This window comes from Homo sapiens, chromosome 20 (genome assembly GCF_000001405.40).
Source record: "Homo sapiens chromosome 20, GRCh38.p14 Primary Assembly".
Lineage (NCBI taxonomy): Eukaryota > Metazoa > Chordata > Mammalia > Primates > Hominidae > Homo > Homo sapiens.
Genome location: NC_000020.11, coordinates 50,731,149 through 50,754,839, shown reverse-complemented (window position 1 = coordinate 50,754,839; position 23,691 = coordinate 50,731,149). Strand labels below are relative to the sequence as shown.

The window sequence follows — 23,691 nt, the reverse complement described above, 5'->3', positions numbered from 1 at the left end:
TGCACTCCAGCCTGGGCAACAGAGTGAGACTCCATCTCAAAAAAAGAAAAAAAACAAAGATGCAAATTGCATTGGGGTCATTTTTTGGGAATGAAAGGGATGTTTTAATTCTGCACCATTGTTTCACGGACTCAAAACCCAGAGATGAATATCGGGTACTGAATGCAACCCAATCAAAGGTGTGAAGAGTTCTGTGTGCACGATGTTCCATTTATACTCGGGATTTTTAGTGTTTTTAACTTGGAGGGAAGGAATTAGGATTGTCCTATTGTCCTCTAAACTTGTTGGCAGAAGAGTTAGTGCAATGACCAACTAAGCTGATGACAGGGTGGCTAATTTGGAATTAGAAATGGCTCAGGAAAGGTTGTTCTTTCTCTCAGACCTTTTTTTTTCTTTTTTTGAGATGGAGTCTCACCCTGTTGCCCAGGCTGGAGTGCAGTGGCGTGATCCTAGCTCACCAAAACCCTCGCCTCCCCGGTTCAAGCGATTCTCCTGCCTCAGCCTCCCAAGTAGCTGGGACTACAGGTGTGCGCCACCAAGCTCAGCTAATTTTTTTTTTATTTTTAGTAGAGACAGGGTTTCACTATGTTGGCCAGGCTGGTCTCCAACTCCTGACCTCATGATCCGCCTGCCTCAGACTCCCAAAGTGCTGGGATTACAGGCATGAGCCACCATGCCTGGCCTTTTTCTCAGACATTTTAAGTTTTTCAGTATAAATTGAATTCAATCAACATAGGCCATACTAGATAGATGGTAATATTAATTAAGTATAACTAAGTGAATTTGAATTTCAGAAGATAAGCTGTCACATTACAAACTAGTTTCAAATAATCTTAAAGATAACTTTGGGTGAATAGCTTGCATAACCTTTCACACTATCAGAATTAACCACATTTTAAAAGTTACCATCCAGCCCATAGCCATATGGTCATACACAGTTGCAAAAAGTGCACATACAATTTGGGGTCCATCTTTTAACAATTAAAAGTTAAGGAAGCAAGGATCTTGTTAAAACTCAAGGGTTTTCTCCCTACCTATTTTATATAATGGGCACCTGGTATTTGTGGGCAACTTTTCATATAATTTCAAACAAGAAAGTAGCCTTTATACAAGTCTATCTTTATTTGTAAAAAATAATATACAACTAAAGCTAATTTGATTTTTAAAATCGAAGTTCATTTAGTGATAATGTACACTTTATAATAAAATTGTAGTAAAATACTGACATTTGATAGTTATAAACAAAGTATCATTCATGTAAAAATCATGTTATAGCATGTAAAATTTAATTAGAAAATTCATAGCTCACAAAAGTACATATATTTTGTTGATAGCTCGAGAACATTATCATAAATTTACTTAAGATACAGAACAAAATTCACAGTTAGGCTTGACATTTAGTACTATAAAATTTTATGTTGGATCCACTGATACTTTTGTTAATAAGGTGCACTTGAAATAATTGATTCAGCCTACCAATGAGCTGATATTTTATCGTATAACCAGGATCTATTGGTTTTACAATATATCTAGTAATCAATTATTTCACCAATAATTTAAGAAACAGAGATCTACTTGAAAATACCATTGATAGATACCCTTAACAGGATAATTAAAATAAAAAGCAATAGCAGCTTTGATTTCCATTTCCATGAATGCGTACAAGATAAATCTGTATTTTACAGTTAAAATTTGTACAAAAAGTCAAGCCCTGAAGTAGTTTTTCCCCCAAAAGTTCTGATGTTAAAACTTTAAAAAAAAAAAGAGAGAGGTAGTGTGTAAAAATATTTTTACTTAAAATGTTGAACCCCTGCACCACTTATATTATAAATGAAAGTTAACCTTCTACATACTAACATTATTTTGCCATTCAAGAGTCAAATTTGTAAGACTCACAGAATGTTAAAGCCGGAATGCCATTAAAAATAGCATATAAATGGAAGAACTTCGGTGAATTCAACAAAAAGTACAACGTATTACATAATGTGCAGTCAGTTAATAGTTTACTGATAATATGCTTAGTGGTAATGTGAACAAAATACATTGAAGTATTCTGAGTCAAGTGATCTTCACGTAATCAAGACTTCTTCATATATATTTTACCATATAGAGAAAACATCCTTCAAAGCGGAGTCATTTGAATCTTCATTGTTGTAATAGCACACAATTGTTAAAAAGGTATTCATACTAGCCCTACCATAAAGTTAATTAATAAATAACTCTCCATAAGCCATAGGGAACTTATGTACTTCATAGTATTTTTAGTTTCTATATACAAGCATACCATTGTGCTTGTGCACACTGTACAATAAAATCAGGCAAGGAATTAAAGTTAGCAGCCTTACTCTTAGCTTGTTCTAAGTGGATGCATTGGAAAGTAATAAATAGCCTCATAAAATTAATAGTGATAAACTCTACCTGTCACAGGTGAATACTATGTAGTTTTCATAAAGTGTAGGCAGTGTTTCTAGAAATCCCATGAAGGAAAACCCAATTTTTTTTTTTTTTGGCATAAAAAGTGCACAAGTTTGTCCTATGTGTTAAAACATCTTAATTTGGATGTATTTTTTATCCAAAATGATGCATACTTGGATGCATTAAAAGCACACCAACAAAAATACACACACTAACAATAAAAGGAATGATTTCAAATGAGACTGGGAATGGGAACAAGAATAGGTTAAAGGAGAGACTTCCATATTTCCAAAGTCAAGAGAATTGCCTTTTAAAACATAAATTATATAGCCATACAGAATTAATTTGAAAATATGAAAGCTATAGGAAGGACAAACACCAATTTGAACAACTGTTGCAAAGTTTCATAACTCAAGAAAAGATAGCTTCCTGGCTAGGCGCTCATGCCTGCAATCCAGCACTTTGGGAGGAGATGGGCGGATCACTTGAGGTCAGGAGTTTGAGACCCACCTGACCAACATGGTGAAACTCCATCTCTACTAAAAATACAAAAAAATAAGCCAGACGTGTTGGCGCACACCTGTAATCTTAGCTACTCAGAAGGCTGAGGCAGGAGAATTGCTTGAACCCGGGAGCTGAGATTGCACCACTGCACTCCAGCCTGGGTGACAGAGACTCTGTCTCAAAAAAAAAAAAAAAAAGCTTCCTCAGCTTTATAACATGGGAAGTAACTCCTAAAAACAGCCAAGTGGTTTGATTCTTAGAAACCAGAAATGCACAACTGGGCGCGGTGGCTCACGCCTGTAATCCCAGCACTTTGGGAGGCCGAGGCGGGCGGATCAGGAGGTCAGGAGATTGAGACCTTCCTGGCTAACACTGCGAAACCCCGTCTCTACTAAAAATTAGCCAGGCATGGTGGCAGGCGCCTGTAGTCCCAGCTACTTGGGAGGCTGAGGCAGGAGAATGGTGTGAACCCAGGAGGTAGAGCTTGCAGTGAGCCAAGATCGCGCCACTGCACTCCAGCCTGGGCGATAGAGCGAGACTCCATCTCAAAAAAAAAAAAAAAAAAAAAAAGAAAGAAAAGAAAAGAAACTGGAAATGTACTTGAGAACATCATTTGTTACAATTTATTAGAAAGGAACATAAAAAAACAAAAATCAAAATAGGCTGGGCATGGTGGCTCTAATCCTAGCATTTTGGGAAGCCGAGGCAGGACTGCTTAAGCCCAGGAGTTCAAGACCAACTTGGGCAACATGGCGAAACCCTGTCTCTACAAAAAATACAAAAAGTAGACAGATGTGGTGGTATGTGCCTATGGTCCCAGCTACTCAGGAGGCTGAGGTGGGAGGACTGCTTGAGCCCAGGGGATTGAGGCTGCAGAGAGCTGTGATCATGCCACTGCATTCCAGTGTGGGCAACAGAGTGAGACCCAGTCACTAAAAAAAAAAAAAAAAAAAAAAAAAAAAAAAATCAAAATAAAATATTGGGAACATGAGACCTTTAAGAGCTGAGGTCCCCAATGTACCACAAGAGAGAATCAGACTTCACATTAGAATTTTAAAAATACAGTTAAAGGAAAAATTAACTGGGCTCTGCACAGCAGGTTAAATATGCAACCACTTCCAACAGAAATGATCTAGTCTTCTCACATAGTTCCAAGAATGTGCTTTAACATCTGATTCTCCACAGACAAAACAGCAAAAGCACGTAACTTCATCAGCAAAGGCCCCTTTGTTTTGGACTTAAATTCACCTCTGATCCACCAAAGTTTATATTAACAATTATCAAACTACTACTTTAATAATATTGTAAGCTTGCAACGTTACTCGTCTCATGCCTATTCCACGTCACTGGTCAGAGGTATATATGCTTTTAAACTAGCCAAATGTACAAGTCCTCATGGCATCCTCACTCTGAAAACATTCAAACCACGGTTTCATAATGTTATGATTGTTCCATCTTCTTCTAAGAGTTTTTGATCTGGAGCATGTGTTTCAAATTCCGTGTTTGAGCTGCTTGCTATGGCTGCTAAGCTCACTTCATTAGAGGGAATAAAGCCATTCTGTCCAGACTCAAAGCTTAGCTCTATCTGTGTTAATGACTCCAGGCTCTCAGTATTAGGAACAGCTTTTGGAATCTGCTGTGGCACTCCATTGTCTTCAATGATAATGTCATCTTCTTCGCTGTCTTCATCCTCTGGCTCAAAGCTTGGTTCAATCTGCTGTGGGTAGCCAAGAAGGCTGTTATCAGTAGACTGACCGGAACTGCCAGAAGTCCGACTGTTCCTCACAACATTATTCCTCTGGTTTGCCGGTCTCACTGTTATGATGAGGTTACGGCTATTTGCAATCATCATGTCTGTTACTTGATCAAGGCTCTTCCCTGAAACTTCTATGCCATTAACTTCTAAAACTTCATCATTAACAGCTAATAGTCCTGTACTTTGAGCCAGACCTCCTGGGACAAGCCTGGATATAAAGATCCCTGGAACCTTTTCTAAGCCATGTGGTGTTACCCTGACACTGGAGCCATCCCGGATGTAGAATCCTAGGGGTTTCTCCGTGCCGTATTTGTAAAGACGTACCCTACGATGCGTTTCTGGGAGAATATCCACGTCTATAATAGAAGACACAGGTCTAAAGTCTTGGGGCATACTAATGACTATATGTGGCTTTTTTCTATGGTTGTCAGGACGCAATACGTTGGTTAAAACATTCTTCTTCTTTATTAGCGTGTCTGTACCAAAGGCACTGTAGTCTGCTTCTTCTGTTTAAAAATAAAACAAAATAATTATAGAAATGCTGTAAAAATATCTATTCACTTGCAGCTGAATCTGTACAGAAAGGATAACTCAAAATATATTTGGTATATAAACAAACTAGCTAATAAGCTTATTCTAATCAGATCATAATCTAGTACAGTAGTAAAATGCCATACCAGAAAAAACCACTAGGTGGCCATCTCAAATACACATCACAAAATAAACCAATGTTGAAGTTAAATTTGATAGAGCTCATTCACTTTTAAACATTAAATATGGCAAATGAAACTATGATAGATCTTACATATTTTTTTTTTTTTTGAGATGGAGTCTCGCTCTGTCGACCAGGCTGGAGTGCAGTGGCGTGACCTCGGCTCACTGCAACCTCCGCCTCCCGGGTTCAAGCAATTCTCCTGCCTCACCCTCCCGAGTAGCTGGGACTACAGGTGTGTGCCACCAGGCCTGGCTAACTTTTTGTATTTTTAGTACAGATGGGGTTTCACCGTGTTAGCCAGGATGGTCTCGATTTCCTGACCTCATGATCCACCCACCTCGGCCTCCCAAAGTGCTGGAATTATAGGCGTGAGCCACCGCACCTGGCCAGATCTTACATATTCTTAAACATCATTAAATATATATGTATTTTTACTTTTTTTTGAATAGGGTCTTGCTATGTTGCCCAGGCTGGTTTTGAACTCCTGGCCTCAGGAGATCCTCCCGCCTCAGCCTCTCAATGTGCTAGGAGTACAGGTGAGAGCTACTGTGTCCGGCCTTAAAACATCATTTTAAACCAGTTACTTAAAATACATTTTTCCTTCACTTGTTTAAAAAACTTGTAATGTGGTTGGGCGTGGTGCCTCACGTCTATAATCCCAGTGCTTTTTTGGGAGGCCATGGTGAGTGGATCACTTGAGCCCAGCCTGGGCAACAGCGTGAGACCCTGTCTTTATGAAAAGTAAAAAAAAATTAGCCAGGTGTGGTAGGTAGCGTCTGCCTGGAGTCCCGGCTACTTGGGAGGCTGAGATGGGAGGATGGCTTCACTCCAGGATTCAGGTCTGCAGCGCACTATGATCACTGCACTCCAGCCTCGGTAACAAAACAAAAACACGCCTGCAATTTGCATGTTTATCATATTCAACTCAAATACTTGAAGTGGGATATTTGATTCTCAAGGTAAATCAGAGAGTAAAATCATATACCAATATCAGAGGCTGAGTGGGCAGATAATGTAATTGATGCTGATGCATATCAAACAAACACTTCGGAATTTTGGTATTCTGCAAATAAACACTCTCCCTCAGTTTTCTGTTGCTATTGTTTGAGACGGAGTCTCGCTCTGTCGTCCTGGCTGGAGTGCAGAGGCATGATCTCAGCTCACTGCCACCCCCGCCTCCCAGGTTCAAGCGATTCTCCTGCCTTAGCCTCCCAAGTGGCTTGGGATTACAGGCATGCGCCACTATGCCCAGATAATTTTTGTATTTTCAGTAGAGATGCGGTTTCACTATGTTGGCCAGGCTGGTCTTGATGGAACTCTTGACCTCAGGTGATCCACCTGCCTCAGCTTCCCAAAGTGCTGGGATTACAGGTGTGAGCCACCTCGCCCAGCAGGAATTCTTGATCTCTCATTTTCATTTTGAAAGAGGCAAAGGTGGAGTTTTAACTTTTTTCTTTACTGTGTGAAAAACTATGCATAAAGTTCAATGGTATTTTGTCCTCAGTGGTGGTGACACAGACAATAGGAAGTAGTAGGACTCTGGCAAACTGGAGAGCTCCTGCCTCATTTAGATGGCATAGCTGCTTCTCAGTTCCTCGCAGATTTTCTTCATGCCAGAAAGTCTTGTTTTTAGGCAAAATCTTGCGATCTTTAAATACTGCCGCCTAATTAAATAATAAACTAAAAGGGAAAACAGAACACCTAACACCAGATATGGTTAAATTATATGGCTGAAGGAAGATAGTCTATAAACAAAACATTTCATCAGAGAATGAGAGGTAAAACAGAAAATGAAACTAACAGCAGAAACAAAAGTTAAAATAGTATTTTCAAAAATAACTACAATGAGGATAAACTAAAAAGTGAAATTTACATGAATTAAAAAAAAAACACAACAACTTCAATAATGCCTCTCCCTGGTTTTCCAGTGGCTAGGCAAAAAAAAAAAAAAAAAAAAAAAGAAAGAAAGAAAAAAAGAAAAAGAAAAGAAAAGACAACAACAAAAAATAAATGGCTTCCCTCCTCCTCCACAAAATAGTTGAAAATCCTAGTCTCAGCTGCTGCCACAGAAAACACCAATCTCACCATCTTGCGTTTGTATAGCGCTTCAACTCATATTCTCTTGTTTAATCCTAAACCCCCTCATTGCTAAACTATTATCATCTTCACTTTATAACCAATAAATTAAGGGTACAACGTAAGTTACACAGAAAGAACTAGAGCCCAGGTTTTCTTACGAGGCTAGTATCTTCCAAGTCACAATAATGAATGCCAAGTATCAATTATGTCAGAGTATGGGGAGCTTTAGTATTCTTTTCTGATGCTGCGTGAACACTCTTCAAAACCTAGTTTCAGATAAATATATAAGGTTACGGGTATCTTATTTTTTTGGCATTTTTTTCCCCTTGGGGACACTTGTAATCATTTATAAGTATTTGCATTGGGCTCTTACAGAGACAGAAATGTATTTATAATATGGCTTTGGATATAAATCCATTGGTACAACAATCTTTTTGGCAAAAAAACCTATCAAGAATAGTCTTCTGGTAATGTGTTTTCTCAAAATCATACATATTTGTGTTTTAAAACAATCAATAAGGAAAGCCTATATAACATTTATAAGGGAAATTCCAGACCATATAAACTGAGAACAGTATTACGTTGCCTACATACCTACTCATGGGAAACCTAACCAAAATAAACTCCAAATCTGCATAATTTGGCATCACATCCAGACTCCATTTGAATGCTCTCTGCTAAATTCTCAAAAGCAATATGCCCCAGTACAAAGCCACCTTTGTTCTCCCATCTAGCTAATCAGTTTCCAGCCACTGGGAAAGAAAATATTTTGGCAGAAAGCCAGGGTTCAGGGTGTTAAAGTGTAAAGGTGAATGTCCACAAGGAATTGGAGTTGACTTTCTACCTGAACACTATCAGAGCATTAAACTCAGAATGAGATGGAAAGTTTGAAAACTTGATCATAGCAACTGTCCACTTGTATAAATTCACTTATGCAACAGTACATGATATGGGCTGATACAGCAGCACCGCATTTATCCCAAGCCTTTTCTTCAGCCAATGATCTCGGCTAACTGAACAGACAAGGATCCACCTAGAAGGCCTCCAAATAGTCAAACTGGATGTCTTACTTTCTTACACACAAATAGTGGCTGTTCTTCACTTATCCTGCAGGGCTTCCCTCTGAACCTCTTACTCTTTAAACATTAATTCTGAAAAGCCTAGTAATCTCATTCCTTTGCTCATAGAGGGTCATAAACCACACATTCAGAGCAAAGGGTAAGGATCCATTTGTGGGTGGCAGGCAGATGTAAGACATAAAAGCTTCACAGTGAGTAAAAAGCAAATCTAGAAAAAAAAAAAAACTTCTACATAAGCTCCATCAGTATCCCCATACAGTAACAAAACAGCAACCATTATAGTACAGCCATCAACAAAGTTCAAGATTATGCCCCACTTGAAGATCAGAGGAAGAAATCAAATAATGAAATAATGTTTTAAAATGTTCTAATCCAGGGGTTGACAACCGTTTTCTGTCAAGAGTCAGACAGTAAATGTCTAGGTATTACAGGCTATATAATCACTCTTGTAAAAGCAGCCACAGACAATCCATAAAATATTATGTGGCCAGGCATGATGGCTCATGCCTGTAATCCCAGCACTTTGGAAGGGCGAGGTGAGAGGACTGCTTCAGCTTAGTAGTTTAAGACCAGCCTGGGTAACATAGCAGGACCCTGTCTCTACAAAAATAATTTTAAAAATTAGCTGGGCATGGTGGTTTGTTTGTGCCTGTAGTCCAAGCTACTTGGGAGGCTGAAGTGGGAGGATCACTTGAGCCTGAGAGGTCGAAGCTGAAGTACGCTAAGATGGCACCACTGCACTCCAATCTGGGCAATGGTGAGACCCTGTTCCAAGAAAATTTTATATGCAAAAGCAGCCAACAGGCCTTAGTTTGCCAACTCTTGCTCTAATATAAAATGGTTAAATGAGATAGATCTGGCAACTTTTTTTTTTTTTTTTGAGACGGAGTTTCGCTCTAGAGTGCAATGACACGATCTCGGCTCACTGCAACCTCCACCTCCTGGGTTCAAGCGATTCTCCTTCCTCAGCCTCCCGAGTAGCTGGGATTACAAGCATGCACCACCATGCCCGGCTAATTTTTGTATTAGAGACAGGGTTTCACCATGTTGGTCAGGCTGGTGGCGAACTCCTGACGTTGGGCGATCCGCCCACCTTGGCCTCCCAAAGTGCTGGGATTACAGGCGTGAGCCACTGCGCCCAGCCAGATCTGGCAACTTTAAAAAGATTAAATATCACTTAAAGCAAATTAGATATTCAAATTTTGCAGACCCCTTCATTCCTAATACAGAAAAATTAATCACCAAATATTTAACGAACACTGACTATGTGCCAGGAATTGTGCTCTGTGGTACAGATTTGGTGAATAAAATAGGTATGGTGTCTACTTTCGTGGTGCTTACAATCTAAAAGAGGAGATGGCAACTAACAAATAATTTCAAATACTCTAAGTAAATTATAACAAAGGTGCTGAGAGCTATAAGCACACCATGCTGGGGAAGTATGTAAAGGGGACCTGGCCTGGCTTGTAGGAGTAAGGCAAGGCTTCTCCAGGGAAGTGATTCTGTGAGGAAAACCAGCCAGGGGCTAATAGTAGAAGGCAAGAAGAATGTTCCAGGCACAGGACTCGACAATATCCAGAAGAGGGAGGGCCAGACAAAGAAATCCAATACAGCTAGAACAGAGGGTGAAAAGCAGGAGGGAGGGAGGGAGGGAGGGAGTCAGGAGCTGAGTCAGAGGCAGCCAGGGGCCAAACAGACAAACAGGGCCTCCTGGGAAGTACCAAAGTTTACAGACTTTAGCCTAAGGGCAAAGGGAAGAAAATCAAGGATTTTAAGGGAAGACAGTGATAGTGAACTCATTTGGTTTTTCTACAAAGCTCACTCCGGCTGCAGGCTGGAGAAGGACGTGGAGGGGGAGGACAAGAAGCTACTGCAGCCAGCGCAGTGCAGTGGGTCACACTTGTAATCCCAGCACTTTGGCAGGCCGAGGTGGGCGGATTACCAGAGGTCGGGAGTTCGCAAGCAGCCTGACCAACATGGAGAAACCCCATCTCTACTAAAAATACACAATTAGCCAGGCATGGTGGCGCATGCCTGTAATCCCACCTACTCGGGAGGATGAGGCAGGAGACTCACTTGAACCCAGGAGGCGGAGGTTGCCGTGAGACGAGATCACGCCATTGCACTCCAGCCTGGGCAACAAGAGCGAGACTGCTTCTCAGAAAAAAAAAAAAAAAAAAAAAAAAGAAGCTACTTCAGTAAATTTGGATGGCACCTGGCCTGGAGCAGAGGACATGGAAATGGGGAGACAAATCTGAAAAATAACTAGAACACAGTTTTAATAGGCTTGGTGACTGACTAAAAAATAGGTATGTGTCAAAGGTGACACCCACGTTTCTGTTGTGAGTAACTGGTGTCACATACTGAGATGTTACTCCACAATTTCTTTTTTTTTTTTTTTTTGAGACGGAGTCTCGCTCTGTCGCCCAGGCTGGAGTGCAGTGGCGCGATCTAGGCTCACTGCAAGCTCCGCCTCCTGGGTTCATGCCATTCTCCTGCCTCAGCCTTCCGAGTAGCTGGGACTACAGGCGCCCACCACCAAGCCCGGCTAATTTTTTTGTATTTTTAGTAGAGACACGGTTTCACCATGCTAGCCAGGATGGTCTCGATCTCCTGATCTTGTGATTCGCCCGCCTCGGCCACCAAAAATGCTGGGATTACAGGCTGTAATTTATTTTTTTCATTTCTGGGCCATATCTTTTGTTAAAACTATAATTTACAATTTACTACTAAAATGTATATTCCTTAGACAACTTTAAACCCTGATTCATAAAAATGTAACCTTAAAAGACACCTACAAAATAATGTCCAATGCACAAAATCTAAGAGATGATTTAGATGCCCAGTTACCAGCATCTGGGCCACAAAGTCACATCTGTGTAAGGGCATGCCCTATGAGAGACAAAGTTTAAAGCAAAGCCTTTCTAGTGTTCCTAATAAAACGAGAATAAATCGAAGAGGTAAACATATGTGTCTGGTGTCAATCAAAAACAGACGGTGTTATAGCAAGAAGTCTGGATGTAGAGATTCTGACTAGATCTGGAGAGGGGTCTGTTCTGTAGCACATCAACAGATCCTCCACCTGGCTGATTATCAGGACTGGCTGGGAAGCTTTTAAAAATACACATTTCCCTGGCTGAATTCCAAACTGACAGGAATGACCTGAGTATTTTTAAAAGGCGCAAGCTTTAAATATTTTTTTAAAAATTTTTAGTGCACAGCAATAACCTCAACAATGAGAGCAGAAAGTCTATTCTGTACCTTCTCTTCCCCATCTCCCGAATCAATTAGGATAAACTCTAATACTCTTAACAGGGAATGGGGGATTGGGATCCTCTGCATGAAAATAACTTTTAAGATACCAGGTTTCTTGTGCTTTGTTTTTGCTCCCATGATAACTGCTCTAGGAATAGAGTATGGGGTTTTTCTTCTAACAATAAATTGTTATAAAAATTTTTCAAGATATCCAACAACACTATCTTAAACTTCAGACTATAAAGTAGTTTACACATTGAATTGTAAGCTTTCACTTTAAAGAAATTTTAGTAGAGTATCAGATGTTAAAAGATCACATAGTTTTAAATTTTAAAATGGTTTTGCAATTTGCTTTTCAAAAATCACTTGGGGGCCAGGCGCAGTGGCTCACACCTGTAATCCCAGCACTATGAGAGGCTGAGGAGGGTGGATCACCTGAGGTCAGGAGTTTGAGACCAGCCTGGCTAACGTCGTGAAACCGTGTCTCTACTGAAAACACAAAAATTAGCCGGGCATGGTAGCACACGCTTGTAGTCCCAGCTACTTGGGAGACTGAGGCAGGAGAATCGCTTGAGCCCAGGAGGTAGAGGCTGCAGTGAGCCGAGATCACACCACTGCACTCTAGCCTGGGCAACAGAGTAAGACTCTGTCTCAAAAAAAATAAAATAAAATAAAATAAAATAAATCACTTGGGGCCAGGCACGGCGGCTCCCACCTGTAAACCCAGCACTTTGGGAGGCCGAGGTGGGCGGATCACTTGAGGTCAGGAGTTTGAGAACAGTCTGGCCAACATGGCAAAACCCTGTCTCTACTAAAAATACAAAAATTAGCTGGGCGTGGTGGCACGCATCTGTAGTCCCAGCCACTCTGGAAGCTGAGGCACAAGAACCTGGGAGGCGGAGGTTGCAGTGAGTGGAGGTCACGCCCCTGCATTCCAGCCTGGGTGACAGAGCAAGACTTAAAACAAAACAAAACAAAACACCAGTACATATTAAGTGTAACTTCTGCCTTACTGATGCCTAACTGAAATCAAAAAGCAAACAGAAAATGTGCTGTAATCAAGCAGTAAAATGTAACTATACTTAATGTCATACTTTATATTAGTTCCTTGAATTAAATGTTCATTAAGGTTTACATAAAATCAGATTTCTAGTTAAGCATCTGCTCAACTTTGCTTAAAAGACAGAGTGCGGCCGGGCGCGGTGGCTCACGCCTGTAATCCCAGCACTTTGGGAGGCCGAGACGGGCGGATCACGAAGTCAGGAGATCGAGACCATCCTGGCTAACACAGTGAAATCCCGTCTCTACTAACAATACAAAAAAAAAAATTAGCCGGGTGTGTTGGCGGGCTCCTGTAGTCCCAGCTACTCAGAGGCTGAGGCAGGAGAATGGTGTGGAGCTTGCAGTGAGCCGAGATCGCGCCACTGCACTCCAGCCTGGGGGACAGAGCTAGACTCCGTCCCCACTCCACAAAAAAAAGAGTGCATGCATTATAGTACACTAAGTAAGTCTGCCAGATTTAGATGCTGCGACCTGATGGTAAACCAGACAGACAGGAAACAAGTTAACATATTCTTAAATAAGATATTTCCAGGTCTTCAGAGGATGATGTGGTAAAGGTGGGAAGGTGGAGGGCTTTAGTTAGGGTAGTCAGAAGAGACTCCTCTGACAAACTTATCTGAGCTAAGCAGGAGGAGGCAGACGTGGGAAGAACCGAGGGTGAAGTGTCCTTAAGAATAACCAAGCATAAGAGCACAGAAACAGAAACAAGCTAACGGCTGGGTGCAGTGGCTCACACCTGTAATCCCAGAACACTTCGAGGCCAAGACGGGTGGATCACCTGAGGTCAGGAGTTCGAGACCAGCCTGGCCAACATGGTGACACCCCATCTCTACTAAAAATACAAAAATTAGCCAGGCATGGTGGCATGCACCTGTAGTCTCAGCTACTCAGGAGGCTGAGGCAGGACAATCACTTGAACCTGGGAAGCAGAGGTTGCAGTGAGCCGAGATTGCACCACTGCACTCCAGCCTGGGTGACAGAGCAAGACTCCATCTCAAAAAAAAAAAAAAAAAGAAACAAGCTCATCAAGTCTGAGGAACAGGAAGGAAGCCAGTGTGGCTGACTGTGATGAGGGAGTGAGAGAATGAGGGAAGATGAGGTTGGGAAGTCCAAATCAGAAGGGATTTTATTCTGGTTGCAATGGGAAATCATCAGAGGGTTTTAAGCAGGAATGAACTGACTACCTACTTTCATTTTTGCTAAAGTCATATTTGTATTAAATTTATATTTTTAAAATCTAAAATATTTCTGTTGAATTGCCTATTTCTAAATCAAATTCTAAGGGCTATCAATTATATTGGACATTTTACCATTAATAAATAGAAAACATTTGCACATAGAAACATATTTCTAAGTTGTAATTCCTATGACAACAATAAAAACCATCAAAGGTCTCAATAAAAATTATACCACCAATAAATAAAAACTTAGAAAGGAAATAAAAGATAACTACCCTTAAAAGATGTTAGGATTAATTCCATAATCATGCAAGAGTATAATTCCATTAACAAAACATGTGGTGGTATAACTCAACTGTCATAATCTTTCTACCAAAGGGGATAATCCAACAAAATTCTGTCACATGGCAATACTTTAAAAACCCACTCTATATTTGAATGCACATCCAAACAGCAACTAACTTTTTAAAGAAAATTACAATTGCTAACAAGAAAGGCCTATTATTCAACCATAATTATTTAAATTCTTCCTCCTTTTCCAGCACTCTATATATAGCTTTCCAAGGTTCTATCCATGGTCTTCATCTCAGATAGCCTTTATGTCTACTCCCAAAATTTTAACTATCACTTTTCAAAAAGCTTGCAAATCTAACTAGTTTTTGGATTTCTACCCTGAACTTTTGTCTACCATTTCTAATCTTCTGAATGACTGGTTAAGATTATTTGTCCTAAGACAAAATTCATAATTTTCTTTTCCAAATCAATCTACTCTGCTTGTTCATGACACTGTCCCAGCTGTCAGACTCAAACCATCAAGATATGCTCTGCTGGACTCTCCTTCACTGCAAAGCAGCCACAGTGAGTGCAATGACTCCCAAGTATTTCCCCTCCTACCTTCCCGCCACTGCCTTCTCCCCTCCCCCCACCCTTCCCCTCTACTTCTAGGCCAGTCTCCTCACTTCTTTACCGCCTGCTCCTGGCTCTCTACTGTAAGACTGCTGCCCACTCCAATTCATCCTGAACAGCCAACTGAATCTTCCTAAGGTCATACTCTCATTATATCGCATTCCTGTTAATTACCTTTGAGATCCATCTCAGGAAACTTTGGGAACATTAATTTGTGTGTGAAAGTATTTTGTAAAATAGTCAAGTGATATAGGCAGAGGTTATCCTTGGAGGTTTATTTTGTTGGTGGACTTTAGTTCCTCCAAACCCAGGAAAGCAAAGATACATAATCAGTGGAATTCCAGAGCCCTGGGAGTGGTCTAATGCTTATCAACTGATTAGAAATAGTTTTCACCTTCAAAGATAATCCCCACCCATTCTCTCAAGCTACTTTCTTTTCAAAAAAATTTTTTTGAGGAGTCTTGCTCTGTTGCCCAGGCTGGAGTGCAGTGGTACGATCTCGGCTCACTGCAACCTCCACCTCCTGGCTGATTCTCCTGCCTCAGCCTCCTGAATAGCTGGGATTACAGACATGTGCCACCATGCCCAGCTAATTTTTGTATTTTTAGTAGAGATGGGGTTTCACCATGTTAGCCATGCTAGTCATGAACTTCTGACCTCAGATGATCCGCCCGCCTCCACCTCCCAAAGTGCTGGGATTACACACGTGAGCCACCAAGCCTGGCCGCTCTCAAGCTACTTTCTGGGTTGGCTTATAAATACCGTAAGTCTTTAATTTATCCCAATACCAGGCTTGATGCTCTCATGCTGGCTTCCCAAACCACTTCATTTACAATTGAGAAAGGAAAAAATGGTACATACCATAATAAGCCCTACCCTGCCTATCTGCAGACACACATACATACACACACAAAGGCTACGAGATTAAAAAAAAAAAGTTTTAGGACTCAAAATACATTTGAAAATTCTTGGCTGAGCATGGTGGCTCATGCCTATAATCCCAGCACTTTGAGAGGCAGGGACTGGAGGATCACCGGAGACCAGGCAACATAGTAAGACCCAGTCTTTACAAAAAAAGAAAGAAAGAAAGTTATTGCCAAATAGTGATTTCAATTTTTTTGGAAGACTAATTAATATCAGTGTTTACATCCTTCCACAATAGTAACTTCCCACCTCATTTTCCAGATAATTAACTAGTTTTATACAATTTCTTTAAAAAGTATCCTAAAAGTAAAAGAAAGAAAGTATTTACTGGGTGCTTACTATAAGCCAGGGCACTGCACTTAGCTCATTTAATCCTCATAGTAATTCTACAAAATATTATAATCTTTCTATAGGTGCAGACATTGAGACTCAGGAAGATTAAATGGCTTTGTTTCTGGTATTTATTAACTGGTAAATACAGCCTTTGAAAGTTGGTTGCCACCAAAAAACAGGAATGCTTTGGATTCCAAAGTCACACTCTTTTCACATTTTTCTGAGTGGAGAATAATCCATTTGATAAAGTGAAGATTCAATAAATTCCCAATATTCAATAAATTCCCAATTTCTACTTAAGGAAAAATAAAACCAAAGAGGTTAACACAAAAGTAACTAGAAATATAAATTTTCTAAAGTACACTTAGTGAAGCATAAAGATATTAATTAAACCAACAATATCACAAATGTTTTAACCCACATGTTAGTTAACATAAGAAGATTCACACAAAATGTTTATTCACTAAGTTTGTGGCAAAGTCTGGGTATCCTTTCAGTGGGGAAAATACACTATTTCTATTTCTAACACAATTTTTCTAAACAGTGATACTTACCCTTCTTTTGTATAAATATCCTAAGCAGTGGATTGGCCGTTGAAACAGCTTTGTGATAATTATCATCATTATTTATAGGTAGTAAGTCTCCATGGATGTCTGCATAGCCTACCAAAACGTCAACATTGGGGATCTTATGAACATGTTGTAGTAATCCATAAAACTCCTCAAATTTTCCAGGTTTTGATCTTTCCAGCGAAAACCGACGAAATTCAGCTCCAAACTATAAACGTAACAAACATATTACTTAAAAAAAAAAAAAAAAGTAAAAGGACCCAATTTGAAAATGCATGCCATAGAAAAATTAACGAGCAGAGCAAGTATTTTTAATTAAGGAAAGATTGTCTATTGTGAAGAACCTTACTATCAGGGATTTTAAAAAGCCTAAGAAAGGCACAAGAATGTGCCTCCTGACTGCTGTGTCTCTGAAGAGCATTCCTTTCAAGAGAGGCAGGCTCAACTCTATCTATCCCTGGGGTACCTAGGCCTTACTGCGGACTGTTCTGCATAGTGACTCAGCTCAAACCCTGTCTGGAGCCCAGACTCTGACGGCAATGCTCTCCTCAGGTGCATCATGGGGTACCAAAGACTTGTCCAAGTCCTTATTTTGACCAAAGGAAAGCATTTAAGTGTCCTCCCCCATAAATGGAACTAGGATTTCATGGTATGTGGTAAGAATCAACAGCAAAATATACAAAAAGAACTGTGAGCTACGTGGCGTTAAGGTATGATCTTCCCTATGTTAATGCAGAAAAAAATAAGCTTCAGTAATACATCAAATGTATGTCCTATAACTATCCAATTAACGCACAAAGTGTTTATGTGTTTGGCACAGTGCTAGGCCCTAGAGATTGAAAGCCTCGAGCCTGCTCCAGAAGCTCACCAATTAGTGGGTAAAGAGAATAATTACTTCAGGGAGGTATTAAGAGATCACACAAATGGGGCGGAATGGGGAGGAAGACAGCCTCCATCATGCCCAATACTTACCTTCACAGTTCTGATTCTGAAGTCTGTTTCCCTACACCTCTGTTTTCCCAATGTCAAATAATTAAAAGTGACTCTTATTCAACACTAAGAACTGAGGCCAGGCGCGATGGCTCACATCTGTAATCCCAGCACTTTGAGAGGCTGAGGCGGGAGGATCACAAGGTCAGGAGTTCAAAACCAGCCTAGCCAACATGGCAAAACCCGTCTCTACTAAAAATACAAAAATTAGCCAGGTGTGGTGGCACATGCCTGTAGTCCCAACTACTCAGGAGGCTGAGGCAGGAGACTCTCTTGAATCTGGGAGGCAGAGGTTGCAGTGAGTCGAGATCATGCCACTGTACTCCAGCCTGGGCAACAGAGCAAGACTCCGTCTCAAAAAAGAAAAAAAAAAAAAAAACCAAAACACTAAGGACTGGCTTCATCTAGTCCATGATAAACAGGATTTATAACACTGTGGGAATAACATGGCATTTCCTCAAACGTGGAAACCTAAGAAAAGTTAATCTGCCTTCCTCAAAAAGTGTCCCAGTCATGTAAGTTTGAGAAACGCTACATAATTATGCTCTTGGGAATCACTGCGGAGACCAGCACTTTAAAGGCTCATTTAAGCCCTATGTTGGTTTTTAAAAATATTTAAACGAACGTTTGCCTAATGTGTTTAACCACTGAACTCATATTTCTTCCACCTATCTATTACTAGCAAGAAATACTAATGTAAAAATATTATGTCCCAGAGAAAAAAGGAAAAGAGAAATACTGTTGGTACAGCCTTAAGCATCATGTAGAGAAAGCCCCTACCATAATAATTTGAGTTTACAAATATGTCACTTCATTTTCCCAAAGGTCCCATGGGACATCTGGATTCACTGGTTTTGCTCTATCTAAAGTTCACCTGCTCTGCTTACACCCATACTCCTCAGTGGTTTTAACATCAAAACTCACTAAAAACACCTCTTACCTCTAACAAAAATTAAAATAGTTCCCAAAACACATTCCTGAAACATAAACACTAACATCTGTCAAGAAAATAAGGTGACTCATACCTAAGGCTCTCAAAAAGTTTAGTCACACCTTCACATTTCAAAGTAAATAAAAACTCAGGGAACACCCTTCATATCAGTTAGTCTCATGATGTTATCAAAAGTCACAGTTTCTCCTCCATTTTCTTTATTCTGGTATCACAACATGAAGTTGCTAGTGCTTGCTGATTCATCCACAGGGTTTATCACTTCCCCTGATGTATGAATGGGAATAACATCTGATCATTTAACATTTTAGGGCTTCAATGTTTTTGTTAAAGCTTTTGGATGAAATTTCTTCGCTCAATATTTTCTCTTGCTTAACTGTTATGATAAAAACAATAAAAAATTGTATGGCTTCATGGTATATTTGCACTTTTGCCAATATTGGCATGGGAAAAAAAAACCCAAGAGAAATTGTTATGCTTCTTGCAACACAACAATAGGATTAAGGGAACTTTTTACATGAACAAAAACACTAAGAGACAAAATTAAGATTCAATCAGCAATTATTCACTTGTGAACCATTTACAACTGTTTCATAGCCTAGTTTGCCCTAGCCATCCAGAATGTGTATGGACTCCCTTCCCCCAGTGTCTGTTGGTACATTCTAGAAATGCAAACTTAATTTTCATAGTCTATTTGCCTATGAATAATAATTAGGAAATTTTATGACTCAAAGACTGTTCCAGGGTTATTAAAGGACATCATCAAGATTATTGATTAAGAATCTTCCCAACACTAGAGATACAATTAGGAAGATAAAACAGTTACCAAAGAAAAGTCACATACTAGCTGGTACCACAAATTGAACTATAGGTATATTTACATTCTCCATTCTTTTATCATTACTATTTTTCCCTTCCACGTGTGAAGATAATAATGTTGACACTACTGCTTTATTGCATTTTTTTATTTTTTTGAGACAGAGTCTCCCTCTGTCACCCAGGCTCTGAAGTGCAGTGGCGCAATCTCGGCTCACTGCAACCTCCGCCTCCCAGGTTCAAGCAATTCTCCTGCATCAGCCTCCGGAGTAGCTGGGATTACAGGCATATGCCATCACGCCCCACTAATTTTTATATTTTTAGTAGATACAGGGTTTCACCGTGTTGGCCAGGCTGGTCTTGAACTCCTGACCTCAGGTGATCCGCCCACCTTGCCCTCCCAAAGTGCTAGGATTACAGGTGTGAGCCACCATGCCTGGCCAACATTACTGTTTATATGAAGAAAAAGAGATCCTAAAAATGGACCGGAACCCAGTGTGGTGGCTAATGCCTATAATCCAAACACTTTGGGAGGCCTAGGTGGGAATATCACTTGAGCTCAGGAGTTAGAGACCAACATGACCAACATGGCAAAACCCTGTCTCTAAAAAGATAAAAAAAAATTGAAAATAGTAAGAGAAAAATGGACCAGCTAGGTGCAGTGGCTCACGCCTGTAGTCCCAGTACTTTGAGAGGTAGAGACGGGCGGATCACTAGAGCTCAGGTGTTCAAGATCAGACTGGGCAACATGGAGAGACCCCATCTCTACAAAATAAATAAATAAATAAATAAATAAATAAGCTGGGTGTAGTGGTGCACGCCTGTAGTCTTGCTACTCAGGAGGCTGAAATCGGAGAATCGCTTGAGCTCAGGAGGTTGAGGCTGCAGTGAGCCGTGATCGTGCCATTGTACTCCAGCCCGGGTGACAGAGCAAGATCCTGTCTCAAAAAAAAAAGGACCGGCACACTACCTAGTTTTGGTTATAAACTCTTAGCAATCAGTTTTGTAAAAAGCTGTGGTATCACTAAAGCAATGTCAAAGAAAATACTGTTTCAAAAACCCTTCCAAATATTTTTTAAATGGTTAAGGTGACAAATGTTTCAATCTACTGAAAATAAATGTATCAGCAATATATATTTGAAACATATAAGGTGTCATAGACATACTAGAAACACTCACTACCTATATCTTGCCTATTTGTCAACAGCTAGAATAGTGGGACCGACTTCATTCAGCACATGTTCCTAGAATCAGTGTATGATTCTATTTAAAAGACACAGTTAGCTGAAAGTGCAGTATGGCAGTTCAAATATACAACATGTAGTTTAGACAGAAGTAAGTGAAAGATTCACAAATCAGTTGACAAGAGAAAGGCAAAAAGCCTGAAATTCCAGTTTTAAAGCACTCAAGGTTTCTTAGTACTAGAGATAAATTACTATTTGATTGTATTTATCAGTATACTTAGAATTCCTACTCATTTTTTTCTGTGGAAAAAAATTAAAGACTTGCTACCAAGATTAGGGCTATAAACTTAAAATTTTAAGATTATGCAATATCACAAGTGTTTTTCTTTCCATAACCTCAACTCCCACAAATCCAAACTAAACTTATAACAAAAATGCCATAAGAAGGTTCAACCACTGGGCATGGAACCTCTACTGCCACCATACCGCTAAAGGAAAAGTTCTGCTATGTATTTTGGGTCATCTTAACGCTATAGCTCAAGCAAGTCACTTCAATTTGCTATGCTGTGCACAGAGGACACATGGACATGCACATTCCTTAAATTGCTGTAACTACACGTCTTTTCTTACTAATTCTGAAACTAGTGCCAATCCTCATGTAAGTGCCAAGCCGTTTTTGTTTTTGTTTTGTTTTGTTTTTTGAGATGGAGTTTTGCTCTTGTTGCCCAGGCTGGAGTGCAATGGTGCAAACTTGGCTCACTGCAACCTCCACCTCCCGGATTCAAGCGATTCTCCTGCCTCAGCCTCTCAAGTAGCTGGGATTACAGGCATGTGCCACCACGGCCGGCTAAAAATTTTTTGTATTTTTAGTAGAGATGGGGTTTCATCATGTTGGCCAGGCTGGTCTGGCACTCCTGACCTCAGGTGATCCACCCGCCTCGGCCTCCCAAAGTGCTGGGGTTACAGGCGTGAGCCACCGCGCCCAGACTCAAATCACATTTTTTAATGATGTTACAAACGAATGTCGATTTTCTCGATGTGATTCTCAGTTACAGAAACTTACAGAACTTTGCTTATCAACCCTAGACAATAAAACTATTCTACCTAGAGGCTCTAGGAAGCTTTCCTTACTCCACTGTACCTCACTCAAATCACTCCTTGATTTTACATACTCCTTAGTAGTCTTACCATCTATGATGCTCCATTACTTTTTTTTTTTGAAATTGATATACTTTCAATTTTCTCCTTTTCTGTGTTTTGGCCTTCTCAATTCTATTTTAAATGTTCTCAGGGCCCAGCCAGTGTCCTGTTTTGTATTCTGCAATGTCTAGAAGTTATTAAAAAGGCATGAAGGCTTTGCAAAAAAACAGCTTGAGGAAGTCATAACCTTTCTAAGCCTCAGTCTTCTCAGAGAATTGGGCTAGATTATCTAAGCTCCTTTTAACTCTTCAACTCAAGAAACGCTTGCTGAAAGTGTTCCCTTGGCTGCCGATCACCTTCAAATTCCAGCTCAAAACCCCCTTTGGAAGGCATTCCCTAACTAATCCCTCCCTACAGACTACCCTGCTCACTGAGCCTTGAGATTTAGAAATTCAGTGAATACCGAAGTAATTATCAGCAGATTGGCATACCGTTGGTCAAGGGGAAAAGCACTTGATGTGAGTAGGTAGCAGGATGGAATGAAAAGAGCATCTAGAGTCAAACTGTAAAGTGCTACTCCAACGTAAGGTGATAGTACTAATTTTACAGATTAAATGCATACCAAAGTTAGTGCTAGAAAGAGCGCCAGCAGGAAGCAAAGCGAACTTTTAAAGGGCTGTTTAGTTCACTGGGCTCTCTCCTTCGCCACTCGATGCGCCCCTTAACCACAGAAAGTGGGAACAACGGGGTGGTCCAGGGCCCTTTACTCACAGCCCAGCAGGCAGGATTCTCCTACACCTTTTGAGCAGCCTCGCATTTCACTCAGTGTGCGCCATCCTTGGATATACCTTGGCCCCTACTCCCGTCCGTGAACACGGGAATGAGATTTACGGAATGAGATTAAATGCTGGACTAGGTCTTCTTCCTGCCCGGGCCAGGGGCGGACACTAGCGCCCCCTGACCCCCGCCACCCCCTCCTCGGCAAGTTTATTACCCACAGTCTCCCGACCGCACCGTCCAGACCCCGGGGCAGCTCAGCCCGTCGCCTCCCCCGGCGCTCCGAGCCTGGCCCGGCCTCTCCCAGGCCCCGGCCCCCCAGGCCCGCCGCTCCGCCCAGCCCGGGCCCCGCGCACCTTGCTCTTCACCTCCATAGTGCCCAGGCAGCCGCTGCCCGCCCCGTGCCGGTGGCTGCGGTTCATGCTGAACGCCGAGCCCCGCGACGGCCTCCTCCGGCCGGGCGGCCCCTCAGGAGCGCGGGGAGCGAGTGCGCGACTGGGGATCTCGGAAAGCGGTTGCGGCCCGGGCGCCTCCTCACAGGCACCTGCAGAGGGGGCGGCCGCAGCTCCGGCGTCCGCGCTGAGCTCCACTCCACCAGCTGCTCACACGGCGGGACCGAGGGTCGGACTGGTGGCGCGGCAGGCGGGGAAGCAGCTCCCTCCCTCCGGGCCCCGGCGGCGACGGCGACAGCGCTGGAGGAGAGGAGGGGGCGGAGCGGAGGCCACAAGCGCCGCAACCTCTCCCTCTGCCGCCTCCCCCGCGAGCCCGCGCGCGCGCACCCGAGCGGACCACAGCCGCGGCGCGTGCGCGCGCTCACCTGCAGCCCCCGAAGATGCCGCAATCCCTCGCGTTCCGCCCACACCCAATAGAAAGCGCGCACCTGCGCCCGCGGCGCCAACCAATCGATACACGCCTCGCGCGGTGCGTGGGCGGGCTGCCTCCTCAAAACCCCGCCTACCACCGCACGATTGGTCCTGCGCTACGAGGGAGGGGCGGGATCACCTGAAGCCATGGCCCTCCGCCCCGCTTCAGGCCGGAGAGCCAGAAGGCGCATGCGCGG

General features: G+C 41.7%; 1 protein-coding gene across 1 annotated transcript, besides 2 other annotated features; it reads right to left on the bottom strand.

Moving 5' to 3' along the window:
- Positions 1 to 1,098: 1,098 nt before the first annotated feature.
- On the bottom strand, positions 1,099 to 23,260 carry PARD6B (par-6 family cell polarity regulator beta). Its single transcript, NM_032521.3, has 3 exons — positions 22,988 to 23,260; positions 16,761 to 16,983; positions 1,099 to 5,181 (listed from the first exon to the last, which is right to left on the bottom strand). The coding sequence occupies exons 1-3, from the start codon at positions 23,051 to 23,053 to the stop codon at positions 4,352 to 4,354; spliced, it is 1,119 nt and encodes a 372-aa protein (NP_115910.1). The 5' UTR covers positions 23,054 to 23,260; the 3' UTR covers positions 1,099 to 4,351.
- Positions 16,843 to 17,518: an enhancer, noted in NCBI's record as "NANOG-H3K27ac hESC enhancer chr20:49353859-49354534 (GRCh37/hg19 assembly coordinates)". NCBI's record gives its function as "activates a minimal SCP1, AML or CMV promoter by ChIP-STARR-seq in primed H9 embryonic stem cells {active_cell/tissue: H9 hESC(primed)}" and the evidence as "EXISTENCE:reporter gene assay evidence [ECO:0000049][PMID:30033119]".
- Positions 22,818 to 23,607: a silencer, noted in NCBI's record as "silent region_13025". NCBI's record gives its function as "represses an Ori minimal core promoter by ATAC-STARR-seq in GM12878 lymphoblastoid cells {active_cell/tissue: GM12878}" and the evidence as "EXISTENCE:reporter gene assay evidence [ECO:0000049][PMID:35858748]".

What these genes read in the sequence shown, in the direction of transcription:
- PARD6B (NM_032521.3), bottom strand. Translation starts at nt 23,053, where the DNA reads ATGAACCGCAGCCACCGGCACGGGGCGGGCAGCGGCTGCCTGGGCACT. An exon ending in CTATGGAGGTGAAGAGCAAG is followed by an intron (nt 16,984 to 22,987) that starts GTGCGCGGGGCC and finishes TTACGTTTATAG; the next exon opens with TTTGGAGCTGAATTTCGTCG. An exon ending in GATATTTATACAAAAGAAGG is followed by an intron (nt 5,182 to 16,760) that starts GTAAGTATCACT and finishes ATTTTTAAACAG; the next exon opens with AAGAAGCAGACTACAGTGCC.